We start from the raw sequence: 16060 nt of genomic DNA on the forward strand, positions 1-16060 counted from the left end.
AATCCCGGGCTCAAGCAATCCTCCTGCTTCAGCCTCCGAAAGTGTTGAGATTATAGGCGCAAGCCACAACGCCTGGCCCGGCAAAGAATTCTTTTTTCTTTTTTCCTCTCACTAGAGAACAAAAAGGAAATAAATCTTGATGGGGTTATTTTACATCTTAGTGTGAATGAGTCACCGAGTTCTCTGCGGAATCTGAATTTCCAGTATCCTCTCTAATTCTGGAAATAACAGTCTTTGAACTAGGTGAAAGGAAATTCTGGAAATAACAGTCTTTGAACTAGGTGAAAGGAAATTCTATCACCTGATGGAGGAGGATATTAGAGTGAAGGGGCTGTCCTAGACCCCCTGAAATCACACACTTGCCCTGCTCTGTGCTGAAACTAGTCCTGACTTCTCAAGGAATGGCCGTTTAATAAACAAACAAAACAAGGACCAGGCCAGATGGAGAAGACAGGAGAGAAGTCCCGCAAACAACGGGAAATACAGCTTAAGGGGGGATGGGGAGAGGAGCAAAGGAGACACCACAGGCCTTTCAGTCCCAGACACAGGAGGTGCCAGGATACCATCCCTCTTCCAAAGTCAAGAAGCCCAGTCCCAGCTACAACATCAACAGAGAGAGAAACGTTCCAGCTGAGGAACACCAAAGGTTCACATCCTCAAGTTACTTACCTACCCTCCTTATGAAATTAAAGAATTTTTGTCCCTTTTGGAGGGAGAAGGGGTATGAAAGAAGAAAGGTCTTTTCAAAAGTGTGAAGAAAATATTTTATTTCTTATTAAACCAGGGGACTGATGTGAAACTAGCAACAGGAATGCATGATTAAGGAAAAAAAATGGCTGGTCTGGAATCCCAGCACTTTGGGAGGCTGAGGCAGGAGGATCACTTGAGCCCAGGAGTTCAAGGCAACAGTGAGATCCAGTCTCTACAAAAAAAAATTAGAAATTAGCTGGGTGAGGTAGCACACACCTGTGATCCCAGCTACTCAGGAGGCTGAGGTGGGAGGATTGCTTGAGCCCAGGAGTTTGAGGCTGCAATGAGCTATGATGACACCACTGCACTCCAGCCTGGGCGAGAGGAGAGAGTGAGACCTTGTCTCTGAAAAGAAAAGAATAGGCCAGGAGCGGTGGCTCACGCCTGTAATCCCAGCACTTTGGGAGGCTGAGGCGGGCGGATCACAAGGTCAGGAGTTCAAGACCAGCCTGGCCAATATGGTGAAACCCTGTCTCTACTAAAAATACAAAAATTAGCCGGGTGTGGTGGCAGGCGCCTGTAGCCCCAGCTACTCAGGAGGCTGAGGCAAGAGAATCGCTTGAACCCAGGAGGCAGAGCTCGCAGTGAGCCGAGATCGCGCTACTGCACTCCAGCCTGGGCGACAGAGTGAGACTCTGTCTCAATAAATAAATAAATAAAGACAGGAGGAAGGAGGGGCCCTGCTTGAATCAGGTTGGGAAGTGGCTGGGAACAGGGCAGAGTAGCGGTTCCAGAGCCAGAAGTTGCCATCAGGTAAGCATTAAACAGCACAGCAGCAGCTCCTCACTGAGAGACCCCAAGCCAAATCTGAAGTGACCAACAGTTACCTGTGGCCAGAGGAGCACAGGAAGTCAGCGATACTGTTCTTCTCACCAACGAATGCTCCTTCCTTTCATAAAGGTTGTGCCTCAGAGACTTGTTTCCATGGAGAAGTAGCCTCACTATAAGTGGTATTGAAAGCCAAAAGTATGATTTCTGCTCCCCAAATCCACTTGGGTAAAGTGAGGCAGGCTGGCCCACATGTATGCAAGCTCCCTGAGGCACAGCTGTGGCTCTAGGGGGTCCAGCAGGGGAAATGCCAGAGGCCTGGTCAGGTCCAGCTGAGCTTTAGGGAGGCACCAGAGGCAGAGAACCACAGAGGACCTGCTGCCAAAGTGCTGACAGCCCAGGCGGCAGGGCTAGTCCTGGGAAAACACGCAGCCACATGTACAACTCTCCCTAGATACAGGGAAGCAGGACACCGGAAGAAGCCCTGGGCTGCCTTTGCGGCTGGCTGTCTTTCAAGAGGAGCTGGCCCTGACAGCAGCACTGGGCGAACAGCAGGGGAGGGATGAGAGAGTGAGCACTGCCTTCAGACATAGAGCCTCTCTCAAGCTGAGAGAGCACAAGCCTGGGGAGTCCTGCTCCCAGAGACCCCGGAGTCACAAGGCTGCTTGTAGAGCAGCAGCTCTGTTCCTGGAGCAGAGAACAGGCACTGTGAGCATGAGCATGATGGTCCTGGGCCTGTCACGAAGGAAGACAATGGGGCATGCCAACCTTGGTGGCATCAAAGCCACGTGGGCTTGCCAGAAAAGCCAATCTCAGAGCCCTCCTCCTGGGAGACACAGACCCTGAAGGCCTGGAGTGGGTCCTGGGAAGCCATGTTCTGACTTGCAATCCAGGTGATTCCGAGGCAGGTAGAATGAGGATCATGCTTGAGTCTGGGGTCAGGTGGGCACGGGATAGGTGCAGGGTTCCGGGAGGGTGATCAGCAGCTGCAGAGAAGCAGCTCATGAGGACTGAAGGTCCCTTTCTGTGGATGCCAGGGACAGAGAAAGGACATGGGAGGGAAGGAGGACTGCCTTCCGTGTGTGCTCCACTTGACCCTATGGGACCATCCATTTTTCTGAGCTGGCCTGACCTTGCCCGATGAAGGCATGACTGAGGCCATGCTTTGGAGGTCCTCTAATTGCTCAGGACACCTTGCATTTAGCTGCTTTTCTCCCACTTAGTGCAAAGCATTCTCCCTCTGAGTAGATAAAAACCTGCCAGGTGACTGGGCCCCAGTCTTGGTGTACTGACAGGTCTTAATCCTTAGCCCCTGGGTACTGGCTCTGGGCAAGCAGATTTAAATACATGCATTTTAATGCATGATAGGAGTTGCCCTTACTGGCCCTCTCTCTAGGTGTAGACACAGAAGGTTTGGGGCACTGAGTGACAGGATTATTAACATCCAAGTTATAGTTTGTGCATATAGTTCTGAGGGGGGTTAATATCTAAAAGGAATTAATACATTAACAAAAAAATAAAAACACTTCACACTCCAGAACACTGCTCATGATTTCACCTGCAGTGTGCAGGCTGCAAGGTGCAGAACACCTGGGCTCACACTGTAGCCTGGAGTACCAGGCCCCCATGCCTGCCACTCTTGTCCTGGGGCTGGAATTTGGTTGTATTGATCAATGCTGGAATTAATGGGTCAACGGGAGGGACCTGACTCAGTAATACTAGCCATATAGAGTTTGCCTTGTCTTATTCTGAGGATAAAAAAGTACATCTGTTAAACCTTATCTGTCACCAGTGCAATTCCCATGTGAGAAGTTACAGAAAGCTGCAAAGCAGCATTCCCCTCAGGGACAAAGTGGCTCAACTGGATCACAGTTTTCTTCAAAGTCCGCCTCTTGCAGGTGGCCAGGCCAGGAGTCTCCAGCCAGCTTTCACCCACCCTTCAATCAACAAATCCTGAGAGCCCACTCTGGGTCAAGTATGTGCTGACCTGGGGCGGCGGGGAACAGTGTGATCACGACAGGCAAGATTCTCCCGAACTCACTCTGGGAAATGTGATCTGAAAACCTTCCTGGTTTCATTTCTTGGATTTCTCACTGAGTAGCATTTTTCCTTCTCTAAAAACTCAGACCACAGTTTTGACACAAAGAAAGCCACAACTTCAGGGCCACACTCTGTTTCCATGTGGTGCATGAGAGAGAGAGGTTTCTCTCTCTCTTTTACAGAAGAAGTTCAATATTCCTGTGAAGGGTAAAATCACTGCATCTCTTTTTCTGGGCCAGATAATTATTAACAGTTAACAATTAAGATATAGTTTGTTGGAGCATGTAGCTCCAAAGGCCAATCATACGCAAAAGGAATGAGTATATTAGTAAAAGAGAAAATGCTGATTACTATAAAATGATAAAAAACTATTATTTTTAAAGGGCTTTTGGTCTTCACTTAAAAATGAAACTCCCCCCCCGCATTTCAGACTTCGAATGGTCACAGGTGTCTCATGCAGTGGCACTCTCTGGTGCCTCATCTCTGGGGTTGCTGTCACTCCGCTGCAGAGCCCTCAGTGGGGCTCTTACACAGAATGTGTTCCACCCACAGAACTACCCATAGCTGGTCCAGGTGCCTCGGGTGTCCAGGCTTCCCTGAAGTCATGTCATTTTGTCAGTGCGTCTGGGCACACCTAACTGAGTCCTGAGGAAATGGATCAGCTTGGTCTCTGTGAGGAATGCTGTCCCGAGAGTTGCTCCCAGACAGAAGGCCCCCACAGCAATGTGTGCCAGTCTGGCTGGCCAGCCCTGCTCACAGCAGAGGAATACCTGGGGAAAGAAACCATTGTCAGTGCCTGTTCCTCAGTCTATACCTCCTTCCTCTGGGACCAGCCAGGGAAGACAGCTGTGGTTCCAGCTTCTAAGTCAGATAAAAGGCATAACAGCCATACTGCAGGTCCATTGTTTCCCCATTGGCAACATTCTCTTGTCACATTATCAGAAGATGCTGCCCTAGAGGCCTGGGGAGGGGACAGGAGGAGGCAAAAACCTGGGAAGAGGAGGCCTAGCGGGAGAGACAGCGGGGCAGCTGCAGAAGCATGTGGCATGATGGCTCAGGGAGTCTCACCTCCGAAACAGCAGTAACCCCACCACTGAGGGCAAATGTCCCGAGCAGGACTGGCGATAGGTGCAGGCCAGCCAGGGGCCTGTGGGGGCTCCTTCGGTAGTAGCGGTGGATGAAGCAAAGGCTCTGCGTGATCCGAATGCCCATGTTAAAGCAGTTGGCCAAGATGAAGCCCACGCTGCCACACCAACGGGTCAAGAGATAGGATAACACCAGGAATGAGGAGGACAGGGCCAGCATCACAAAATTGTACCTGGGGAGGAGACAGGAAAAGGAGGGCAGTGGTGACCTTGCCCTGGACAAGGCTGCTCCCAAAACAGCGGCCATGAACATCAACTCACAGAAAGAACCTGAGCTCCTGGAATCCAGGTTTTCATAACATCGAATGCTACCTGGAGACCATGGGAATGTCCCTGTCCCCTTACCCTGAGCAGAAAGGTAAGAAACAACTCAGGAGATGTATGTTTTTTGAAGACAATAATTAGTTAGTTAAGCGATACTTTGTGATCAAAACATAAAAACCCTGTTCAGCCCAAGTCCTCAATGTGAGATACAAGAATGTGACCTGGGTAATTAGACATTGGATGCTAACTCTGTGACAGGCCCTGTGAGGAGTGCTGGGGACACACTGGAGAATGAACACACATGGGCCTTGCCCTGCAGAGCTTGGATTTATTTCACAGACAAGGGAAGCAGCACAGAGAAGTTGAGTAATTTGTCTCAAGAGTGAGGTAACACTCAGCCGGACTTCTGACCCCTAAGCTTCAGTACCTCACACCACTGCCCTTGGGAAATGCAGCACCCAGTAACCTTGGGCAGTAGACCCCATTCAAAGCAAATGACTGGCCTCCAAAATGAAATGGGAACTGAAACCAAAGCCTGGATCACCTCTGCTATTTTCCAGACTCTTACATATCCTCACTCCCACTCTCTGTATCTCTAGAGCTCTTTGGATCCTGGCGCTTCTTGCACTTCTCTGATTTCAAAGCAGCACATCACTTAGTTATCTTCAGTCCTCCAAAAAGAAAACAGATTCTCAGCAAACACGAAATAGCTGCCATAGTCCTCCAAAAGGCTTGTACAGCCAAGAACAAAATCCCCTAGCCTCTGGTTTCCGCCTAGCACCAAGCAGGCACTCAAAGTATATAGCTGTTGAGGGAACCAAACTTTTGACATCCTCAAGCCATGTCTGCTGGGTTAGAAAACCTCAGAGGCCACCACCCAGATTCTGCACATGAGGGGTCGTCAGAAAGCAGAATCCCAGTGCTTTGAGAGGCTGAAGTGGTGGGAGGATTGCTTGAGGCCAGGAGTTCGAGATCAGCCTGGACAACAGAGCTAGTAGACCCCCGTCTCTACAAAACCCAGTAAAAATTACCCAGGGTTGGTGGCACACACCTGCAGTCCTAGCTACTCGGGAGGTTGAAGCGGGAGGATCGCTTGAGCCTAAGAGTTTCAGATCAGCCTGGGCAATATCATGAGACCGTGTCTCTACAAAAAATTAAAAAATTAGCCGTGATATACACCTGTTGTCCCAGCGACTTGGGAGGCTGAGAGAGGAAGAAGGCTGGAGCCCAGGAGTTCAAGGCTATGGTGAGCTATGATCATGCCACTGCACTCCAGCCTGGGCAACCGAGCAACACCCTGTCTCAAAATATAATGATGACTTAAAAATGCATATGGGGCCCTCACCACCAGAGTTCCTGATTCTGCAGGTGTGGGAGGAGGTCCTAGAACTTGGCCAGTACCCTAGAACTATGCTTGTAATCCCAGCACATTGGGAGGTTGAGGCAGGAGAATTGCTTGAGGCCAAGAGTTTGAGACCAGCCTGGACAACATAGTGAGACCATGTCTCTACCAAAAAGAAAAAAGAAGGCAAGCCACTGCATCCCCCAAATGCCCAGGTATAGGTCCTTGGCTGATTCAGGCCAAGGTGCTGTGTGCTGTGGAGATACGCTTTATCAAAGTGGGTGGTAAAAATACTACACGCACACACACACACACACACACACACACACACACACTCTCACACACAATACTATACTCCAACAGGAGAGATGTGCTTTCATCCGGAGTTCCAGAGAGGGAGTTTATTTGCTTTTCAGTCCAGAGAGAGTCTCTTTTAATGAAGTACGAGAGCCTGTACCTCACAGGGGAAGTTTTTTCACTACTAATCAGTGATCAGAAAGGTCAACTTCAGAACAAGCCACTCAAATGGGACCCATCACAGACCAGTACTTTGACCTCTTTTCCACAAAGCAGCAGAGATATGTAACCTGTTTTTCAGAAACTATCTCAGAAAGGTCTACTATACCAATCCTTGGAGTTTAAGTCATAGATTCACAAACTTTTAGCCATCATTCCCCAACTCCGAGTAAAATAACAATAATGAATAAAGCCAATAGTTAATTCATGCTAATTCAAGCAGAGACGCATTCGACAGCACAGCCTCTTTGATATGGCCATCTGAGAGGAGCTGATGATGGGGTCCATTGTCTGCCACTAGAAGAGGGCCCTGCAGCTGCTGAACTTTCCAGAATTCACAAATCTACAGCCTTAAAGGCATAATCCACTTCAGGAAAAAATGAGAATTTTAAAAATGCAATTAAAATATCACTTTTTTGGCCGGGCACGGTGGCTCATGCCTGTAATCCCAGCACTTTGGGAGGCCGAGGCGGGTAGATCGCGAGGTCAAGAGATCGAGACCGTCCTGGCCAACATGGTGAAACCCTGTCTCTACTAAAAATACAAAAATTAGCTGAGCTTGGTGGTGCACGTCTGTAGTCCCAGCTACTCAGGAGGCTGAGGCAGAATTGCTTGAACCCGGGATGCGGGGGTTGCAGTGAGCCAAGATCACGCCACTGTACTCCAGCCTGGAGACAGAGCAAGACTCCGTCTTAAAAAAAAAAAATCACTTTTTAAAATCAAAGCAAAATTATTAATCGGTGACAATATGACTATCCTGTAAGGTTTGGTTAACATAAACAGTAAATTATTTATGAATACTTATTTCTCCATGGTCCCAAGAAAATACTGGACTTAAAATCAGGCTTATTAAAAGATGGACTGGCTGGGCACAGTGGCTCATGCCTGTAATCCCAGCATTTGGGAGGCTAAGGCAGGCAGATCGCTTGAGCCCAGGAGTTGGAGACCAGCCTGGGAAACATGGTGCCCAGAGACTCCGTCTCTACAAAAAATACAAAAATTAGCTGGGCATGGTAGTACACACCTATAGTCTCAGCTACTCAGGAGGTTGAGGTGGAAGGATCGATTGAGCCTAAGAAGTCAGGCTGTAGTGAGCTATGATTGTACCACTGCACTTCAGCCTGGGCGACAGAGTGAGACCCTGTCTCAAAAAAAGTTAAAAAAAAAAAAAAGGCATGGATGGTCGAGGATATCAACTGTAGCACCACCTGAAGAAGCCCCCAGCAGGTGCTGGTTGAATACATCAAGGCACAGCCATACAATCGAGCCTTCACAGCCATGAAAAGGATGGCACTGATATCTTATGTGCCAAAGTGAGAAGATCATACCCAGCCTTCATTTGACAGTTATGGAGTCCACTTTGGCACTCAAAGGCCAACAAATCAGACAAAGGAGCTGTCAATCTTGGGCCTTTACACAACTGATCTGCCTAGAAGTCTCTGCCCCCATCTTAGACCACCTTCTTGGTCATCCTAAATGGCGCTGTGCCATAGGGGCCTGCCCAGCAAACCCAATCTAAAGGGCCCCTACCACTCACTATATACCCGTTTTCATTCTCAGCACATCACATTTTCTTATTAATTTACTTGTTTGCTATCTGCCTCCCCACCGTCAGCTCCAGGAGAGCAGAAATCCCATCTGTCTTATTCATTGCTGTATTCCTAGAGCTTAAAACAATGCCTGTTAGAGAGTAGATGCTCAAAAGTATTTGCGAAATGAAAGAAAATTAGACAGCCTTAACAAAACAACAAAAATTCTTCAATAAGGCATAATGAAAAATCCATCAATCAGATTCTATATATATTATGAGGTTATTAAAAAAAAAGCAACCAGGCCGGGCACGTTGGCTCACTCCTATAATCCCAGCACTTTGGGAGGCTGAGATGGGCAGATCACCTGAGGTCAGGAGTTCGAGACCAGCCTGGCCAACATGGTGAAACCCTGTCTCTACTAAAAATAAAAATAAAATTAGCTGGGCATGGTCGCACACCTGTAATCCCAGCTAATCGGGAGGCTGAGTCGGGAGAATCACTTGAACCTGGGAGGCGGAGGCTGCAGTGAGCCAAGATCACACCACTGTACTCCAGCCTGGGCCACAGAGCGAGACTCTTGTCTCAAAAAAAAGCAACCTGCAATTCAAAGGATGTTTTAATATTTCATATACAACCAAATGCTCTCTTCTCTCTATATATTTTTTGAGACAGAATCTCTCTGTTGCCTAGGCTGGAGTGCAATGGCATGATCTCCGCTCACTGCAACCTCCGCTTCCCAGGTTCAAGTGATTCTTGTGCTTCAGCCTCGCGGGTAGCTGGGATTACAGGCGTGCGCCCCTACGCCCAGCTAATTTTTGTATTTTTAGTAGAGACAGGGTTTCACCATGTTGGCCAGGCTGGTCTCGAACTCCTGACCTCAGGTGATCCACCTGCTTTGGCATCCCAAAGTGCTGGGATTACAGGTGTGAGCCACCGTGCCCGGCCCAAATGCTCTATTTTTATTCAGAAAAACACTGGTTAACCTTAAGTTGGTTAAGTAAAATGCCTGCTTTTTTTCTATTCAGAATCTGAAATGTCCAATGCAAAGTCATTATAATTGATTGTAACAGTTAACTAAGCTATCCAATTCTACTATAAAAATCCTTGCTAGAGTTTTTTGTCTGTTAAAATTCACAGAGATTAAAAAAAAAAAATGCCAACGTCTGTGATGAGCCCAGGTATTCCACGTGCTCAGACCAGGGCCAGGCGCTGGGGCCAGGGGCCCAGAAAGAACTGGAACTATTGTGTTTTATACATGTCTGAAAACTGCACTTAATATCACATTTTACTCTTAGGGGAGGTGAGTTACCCCACATGGGAACTGCACTAGAAGGTGCTCTGGGCTCTGTTTTTTCTCTATGTTGACTAATACTATGAAAATAATTTTCCACATGTTTATATACTATCGAAATTCCATTACAGCTAACTTAAAAAGTTGTTTCCTTTGGTTCAATACAATATAAGAGAAAAGAAAGCAACCAGCCACTATCCATATTCCCTCACAATTTGGTTGCAATGTATAAAAACATCTTAAATGGGTTTGGTTTTCATTCACCCCTTCAACACTAACACTGAAGTTACCGTAACAAAATTCCCTTCAAGGAGATACACTCCTAGTCCTGCTCTTTCCACTCTAACAGTGCCTCATTTCACATGTTTCCAATTATATTTTTAAGTTATTCAATGTTAGAAGTAGCTTTCAAATAAAAACATTGTATTTTCAAAGCTAAATTGAAATAGACTTTTTCATCCATAGGGAAAGAAGAGGATAGACTCAAAGCAGTTCTACTCTAAAGCTATAAATTTAACTATCTGAGGTGAAAACCACATCTAGACTACTATTTTAAAACTATGGGTTGTGACCTACTAGGCTGGGAATCAATTTAGAGGGTAATGGCATGGCATTTTTGAAAAACAAAATAGAAGAGAGAGTAGAAAGCATCAGCGTGTCCTACGCATAACTGGGGTACTTCCTGCCTTGTGAACTCATGTCTCAGTCACACACACCTAAGTGCGTCCTAGGTCACAGTGCTCCGTGTCGTTTTTACTGTGAAAGCTGGTCTGGGCCAGCAGTTTCCAAAGCCCTAGAATCAGAATTGCCTAGAGCTGTGTAATAAACAGATTCCCTGGCTCAAGCCTTCTAAGATTCTAATTCAGCTTGGCTAGGAGTGGACCAGAAATTCCTAGATGAATCTCATCAGTCTGGACTGAGACCTGCTGGTCTGGACTCTAGTTCTCAGTCACTGTGTAGCAAACAAAGTCCCCAATCTTTTACATGAGCCAGCGCAGGAAAGGACACACACAGAGGAGGGGGAAGGGTCCCCATTTGAGACACTCCCTCCCCATCCCACCCCATGGCCAGGCTTCTGAGGGCCCTCACCAGCAATCAAGGTTACAGAGGCAGCATGAAAACCCCCATGAGGCTGGGCACGGTGGCTCATGCCTGTAATCCCGGCACTTTGGGAGGCCAAGGCGGGAGAATCACAAGGTCAGGAGATCGAGACCAACCTGGCTGACACGGTGAAACCCCATCTCTACTAAAAATACAAAAAATTAGCCAGGCATGGTGGCACGCGCCTGTAGTCCCAGCTACCTGGGAGGCTGAGGCAGGAGAATGGCGTGAACCTGGGAGGCAGAGCTTGCAGTGAGCAGAGACTGCGCCACTGCACTCAAGCCTGGGCGACAGAGCGAGACTCCATCTCAAAAAAAAAAAAAAAAAAAAAAAAAGAACCACTGGTAGGGGATTCCAGGACAGGAATCCTGATCTGGAGTCAAGAGTTGAGAAAAAATTATGGCAAGATGAGATGTATGTGTGCACTTGGGCTTTTCTCAGGAGAAGTGTCACAGAATCCCTGAGATTCTCAAAGACCCACCAATCAGGTTCTCAGGGGTAGGAATGTGCATCTTGAAGAAGCTCCTCAGTAACTTACTGGAGGACCACTCTTCTGGGGTGAGCAAGGAGGTGGAGGAATGGAAATCTAGCTTGTCTGGTGCCTGACTCTGCAAACCTGGACTAATGTAACCTTTCAGAGCCGATGTTTCTTCCTCCACAAAGGGGAGGCAAAGAGTAGTTGCTGCCTCCCAGCCCTACAGTGGGGAGCACTTGCTGAACCATGCTGGTGCCACAGAGATCCCAGGGGAGCACCACACTGGTGGACTAAGTGTTGCCTCTAAAACAGCCATCTGTAAATGCATGTTCAGAACGAAAAGCAAAAAGCTTGACAAGTTATTTCATTTTGGCTGAAGGCCATGATTAAAGGTGTACCTGCTAGGTTACCCACCTGTCGACCTCCTCTTTGCTCATGGCAGCAAATGTGAAACACTCTGTCACTCCATTGATGGCAAGCAGGAGAACATAGAGACAGTAGGAACGCAGCAAAACAGGACCTACAAGGAAACAACTCACTGAGACTCCAGAGCCCAATCAGAAGGCCCACATGTACCCTCAGTGCTGCTGAGTACCCAGAGAACCAGAACCAGACTATGAGGTCTGCTGGTATCAGCAATGGGCAGACTGCATGCTAGAGCCCAGGGTCTTAATAATCTAGAAGGATTCCCAACATTCTATGGCATTGACTAAATAATCAGCAAAAAACAAAATGACAGGCTGGGCACGGTGGCTCACACCTGTAATCCTAGCACTTTGGGAGGCCCAAGGCCAGCAGACTGCTAGAGCCCAGAGGTTAGAGACCAGCCTGGGCAACATGATGAAACCCCGTGTCTACCAAAAATACAAAAGTTAGCTGTGTGTGGTGGGCATGCCTGTAGTCCCAGCTACTCGGGAGGTTGAGGTGGGAGGATCACCTGAGTCTGGGGAGGTCAGAGCTGCAGTGAGCCATGATAGTGCCACTGCACTCCAGCCTGGGTGACAGAACAAGACCTTATCACACACACAAAAAAGAACAATTATGAATAAATGTACAGATCTCTTGCTGGACAACTAAAAGCTTATCTGGCTAGCAAGCAAGTCTGTTCCCTTTTTTCATCAGCATGAATAGGCCTGCTGGTTTGGACTCAAAGTCAGTAGTGACCCTGCATGTTAAGGGAATCTCAGTTGAGCAGGTCCTGAAGAAAAGACCTTTAACAAAAGCCAGGGGCCCAGGACCAGCAGAAAATTACACAAATCCAAAGTGAGAACCAGTGCCCATAATAGTATTTTCTTCTAAAACAAAGTAATGCAGTTCTATAGCTAACAAGCTTCGGAAAAATCTTCTAAGCAGAGAACAGGAGGCTTACAAATGGGATTGATTCCCCCCTTTTAAGAGGGCCATAATCAAGCACCTAATAAAATAAACAAACACCTAACCTACGACCCAGCAATTGCACCCCTAGGTATATATCCAACAGAAATGAACACACATGTTCACAAAAACACTTACACAAAAGCATCTGTAGCAGTTTGATTCATAATAGCCAAAACTGACCATCAACAGAAGAAAGAATAAACAAAACGTGGGCCATCCACACAAAGGAATACTTAGCAAGAAAAGATAATAAAAATCACTGATCCATGCGAAACCATGGAAGAATCTCAAAAACTTTATATTGAAGGAAATATGCCAAATGCAAGAGCGCACATGCTGCATTTCATTGATATAAAATTACTTTTAAAAGAAATACTGATCCATGGTGATAGAAATCAGATTTCTTCTGATTTCTCTTTGTCTCTGAGGTGGAGTGGGGTAGTTGACTAGAAAGGGTCCCAAAAGAACTTTCTGGGGAAATGGAGATATTCTATGTCTGAATCTGTTTGGTAGTTACATGGGATTTTTTGTACATATTTGTCAAAACTTACCAAACTGTACTCTTAAGAGAACAGCATTTTACTTTATGTAAATTATACCTCAACAAAGGGAGAAAAAAAACTCCCAAAAAAAACACATAACCACTGAAAGAAAAGGAGGGGGACTGAAGTTCCGGAGTCTCAGAATCTGGAACTCATTCAGGGTTTATGAAAGCTGTTTAATACAAAAGATCTCCATGCTGTGGGACCCCTAAACAGTTTTATGGCAGTCACAAAATTATAAAAGGAATACTAACAGGGCAGCCCCGACGCTCAACAAAAAACCGTTTTCCACGGCCCTGTCTCAGATTCCATGTTTATCACCTCACATTGCATTTTGCTTGTCAAGCCGCTGCAGGAAGTAGCCTGGCCCCCACCCCAGCTGACGGTGACTCCAGGAAGGGAGGCGGGGACCAGGCTCTGCACCCGGGAGGCTCAAGGCTATGCTCAAGTGTGCCTCCTGCTTCTCCCCAACCTCCTCTCCCTGGCAGAAGCAGAGAAGAGTGGGGGGCCTCCTTACGTGGTAACTGAACGCTAATGGCACAGGAGGGCCCATCAGTAGGTGAACAGTGGGCTGTCGTGAGGCATGGAGAACACAAACTCTGGCACCAATCAGTGACTCACGTAAAGGGTTTTGTGTCCATTTGGGGAATTCAAGAATGGAACCAACCTTCGATTGTAGACTGAATTGAGGGGTGTTTTAAGTTGAACTGTCCCCCCAAAATAGATATGTTAATGTCCTGACCAGTGGTACCTGAGAATCTGTCCTTATTTGGAAACAGGGTGTTCATGAAGAAAACTGAGTTAAAATGAGGTCATTAGGGCAGGCCCTGATCCTATATGACAGGTGTCCTTATAAAAAGGGGAAACTTGGTCAGGTGCAGTGGCTCATGCTTGTAATCTCAGCACTTTGGGAGGCTGAAGGGGGGCAGATCATCTGAGGTCAGGAGTTTGAGACCAGCCTGGCCAACATGGCGAAACCCCGTCTCTACTAAATATACAAAAACTTAGTCGGGTGTGGTAGGGTGTGCCTGTAATCTCAGCTACTCGGGAGGCTGAGGCGGGAGTCTCTTGAACCCGGGAGGTGGAGGCTGCAGTGAGCCGAGATCACACCACTGTACTCCAGCCTGGGTGATAGAGTGAGACTTCATCTCACTAAAAAAAAAAAAAAGTGGGGGAAACTTGCATTGAGGCAGACACGTGCAGGGAGATGATGACGTGAAGAGCGCAAGGGGGATGATGACGTGAAGACAGAGAGAACACAGCCATGTGACCGCAGTACTGCAGCTGCAAGTCAAGGAACGCCAGGATGCCAGCAACCATTAGCAACTAGAAGAGGTAGGAAGGGGCCTCTCCTCGAGCCTTCAGAGAGAACACGGCCCTGGCCATAGCTTCATTGTGCACTTCTGGCCTCCAGAACTGACGGACAATATGTTCTGTTGTTTAAAGCCACGCAGTCTGTGGTACTTTGTCATGGCAGCCCTAGTTCATTAAGACAAGGGGATAGAGAAGGAAAAAAGTAAAAGGCAGAGGGACAAGAGAGAAGCACCTAAGAGAGAAATGTAAGAAATCTTGGGGAAATTCTGTGAATGTGTGGGTTTTGCTTAAGGATAGAAAAGCTAGGTGTTGTTCTGTGAGTTACCAAGAAAAAAGAAAAGAAAAGAAAAAGCAAAGCAAAGCTAGGTGTGAGAAGGATTTCTAAGAAAAGCCTCTAGAACACTTACAAAGACCCTAATTAAATGCAGGGCTAATCCCAAACAACGGAAGAGAAGCCACACCCCTACACAAAAGCCTGTCCGTGCTGTGTCCGAGTCCCACATCTGGAGATGGCCAGTACAGCTCACAGGTAAGTAGTCCACTTCCAGGGTGAAGACAAAGACAAGTACACAACTGGGGACAGCAGTGTTGCGAGTTCCACTTTCAAAACTAAGATGATGGGCTGAGTCATGATAATGATGGGACAGCCCCCTCCTTGAGGCAACGCCCTGTGATTGTGTGACATTAGAGGCTGCTCCTTGGTGATTGCTTTCTAAAGGGGAAGAGCTGCTACAGAATAGTCGAGTTCCCAATCTCTGCCCATAAACTTACTAATGCCTTCCTCATGAGGCCTCCCCACAGCTGCCAGATGGAAATACACTTCTCACAGCACAAGCCCCAGGGAGCTGCAAACCACTTCACTGGTTTCACAGCAGGTGTTTCTCCAAACTTAATGACCTTTGCTCTGGTATAGAAACCTGGCCCTTCCTCCCCTAACACCAAAAGTTTGGGCCCCATTGTAGTGGAGACTAAAACATGCTAGTGAACTTGTAAAATGGCATTTGACAAAGCCCTTTATATTGAGATGGGGCAGCAGAAAGAAGTCCTCAGCGTTCTTGTCCAGCGACCTGAGAAATTAAAAACATCTTTGCTAAACCCAAGATGAAGCACTGCAAATGGACTGCCAGCTTACAGCCCAGCACATTTTGAAATTGATGAAGTCCCCAAGACCTAACAAGTGCTGTGAGATCCTCAGCGGCCTGGTGTTTCAAAATTAGACACATTCAATACTTTTCTTCTTCAAAAACTGAGAGTCACTGGATTAAATATACCATTTTATTTGCAGAGATCAATTTTATTCTCTGCAAATGGCTTTGGGTTATCCTTCAGAGGCTTTTATGCACTAGGCTGGGAGATTTATGTGGCATTTACTATCTTCAGATGTGTTTAGTACCAAGTGGAGACTCATTACCGTCTGCCCTCTGCCTTCCTCCCTCACCCCAGAGGGAGCACAGGGAAGCGCTTGGCAAAACACATTCTAGGCCCGAGAGGAAAGCCAACAGCAAGGAGAAGTCCTAATAACTTCTCCAAGTGAGGCTGGGGAAGCTGATTGTCCTGGCGCCAACGCCCCTGCCTATACCTTGAGTGTGTGTCTGGAGTTGAA

The 16060-nt window shown here is 47.2% G+C and overlaps 1 protein-coding gene across 7 annotated transcripts in view, besides 2 other annotated features; it reads right to left on the reverse strand.

Moving 5' to 3' along the window:
• RFT1 (RFT1 glycolipid translocator homolog) overlaps positions 1-16060 on the reverse strand; it is a 63583-nt gene that overhangs the window by 20890 nt on the left and 26633 nt on the right. For 4 of the 7 annotated variants that reach the window (XR_007095765.1, XM_011534215.4, XM_011534214.3 and 1 more), the window contains exon 11: positions 11639-11744. Coding sequence is in view for 6 of the 7 variants with exons in the window: in XM_011534215.4 (XP_011532517.1) it covers positions 11639-11744 (106 nt within the window). In the remaining variant the exon portion in view is untranslated. Of the gene's footprint in view, positions 1-740; positions 4329-4626; positions 4877-11638; positions 11745-15452; positions 15525-16060 lie in introns of those variants that run through there. The other 3 variants (NM_052859.4, XM_011534216.4, XM_005265537.5) reach the window with 2 other exon arrangements.
• Positions 15024-15073: an enhancer, noted in NCBI's record as "active region_19952". NCBI's record gives its function as "activates an Ori minimal core promoter by ATAC-STARR-seq in GM12878 lymphoblastoid cells {active_cell/tissue: GM12878}" and the evidence as "EXISTENCE:reporter gene assay evidence [ECO:0000049][PMID:35858748]".
• Positions 15073-15574: an enhancer, noted in NCBI's record as "NANOG hESC enhancer chr3:53136831-53137332 (GRCh37/hg19 assembly coordinates)". NCBI's record gives its function as "activates a minimal SCP1, AML or CMV promoter by ChIP-STARR-seq in primed H9 embryonic stem cells {active_cell/tissue: H9 hESC(primed)}" and the evidence as "EXISTENCE:reporter gene assay evidence [ECO:0000049][PMID:30033119]".

Source organism: Homo sapiens, chromosome 3, assembly GCF_000001405.40.
Source record: "Homo sapiens chromosome 3, GRCh38.p14 Primary Assembly".
NCBI classification, from domain to species: domain Eukaryota; kingdom Metazoa; phylum Chordata; class Mammalia; order Primates; family Hominidae; genus Homo; species Homo sapiens.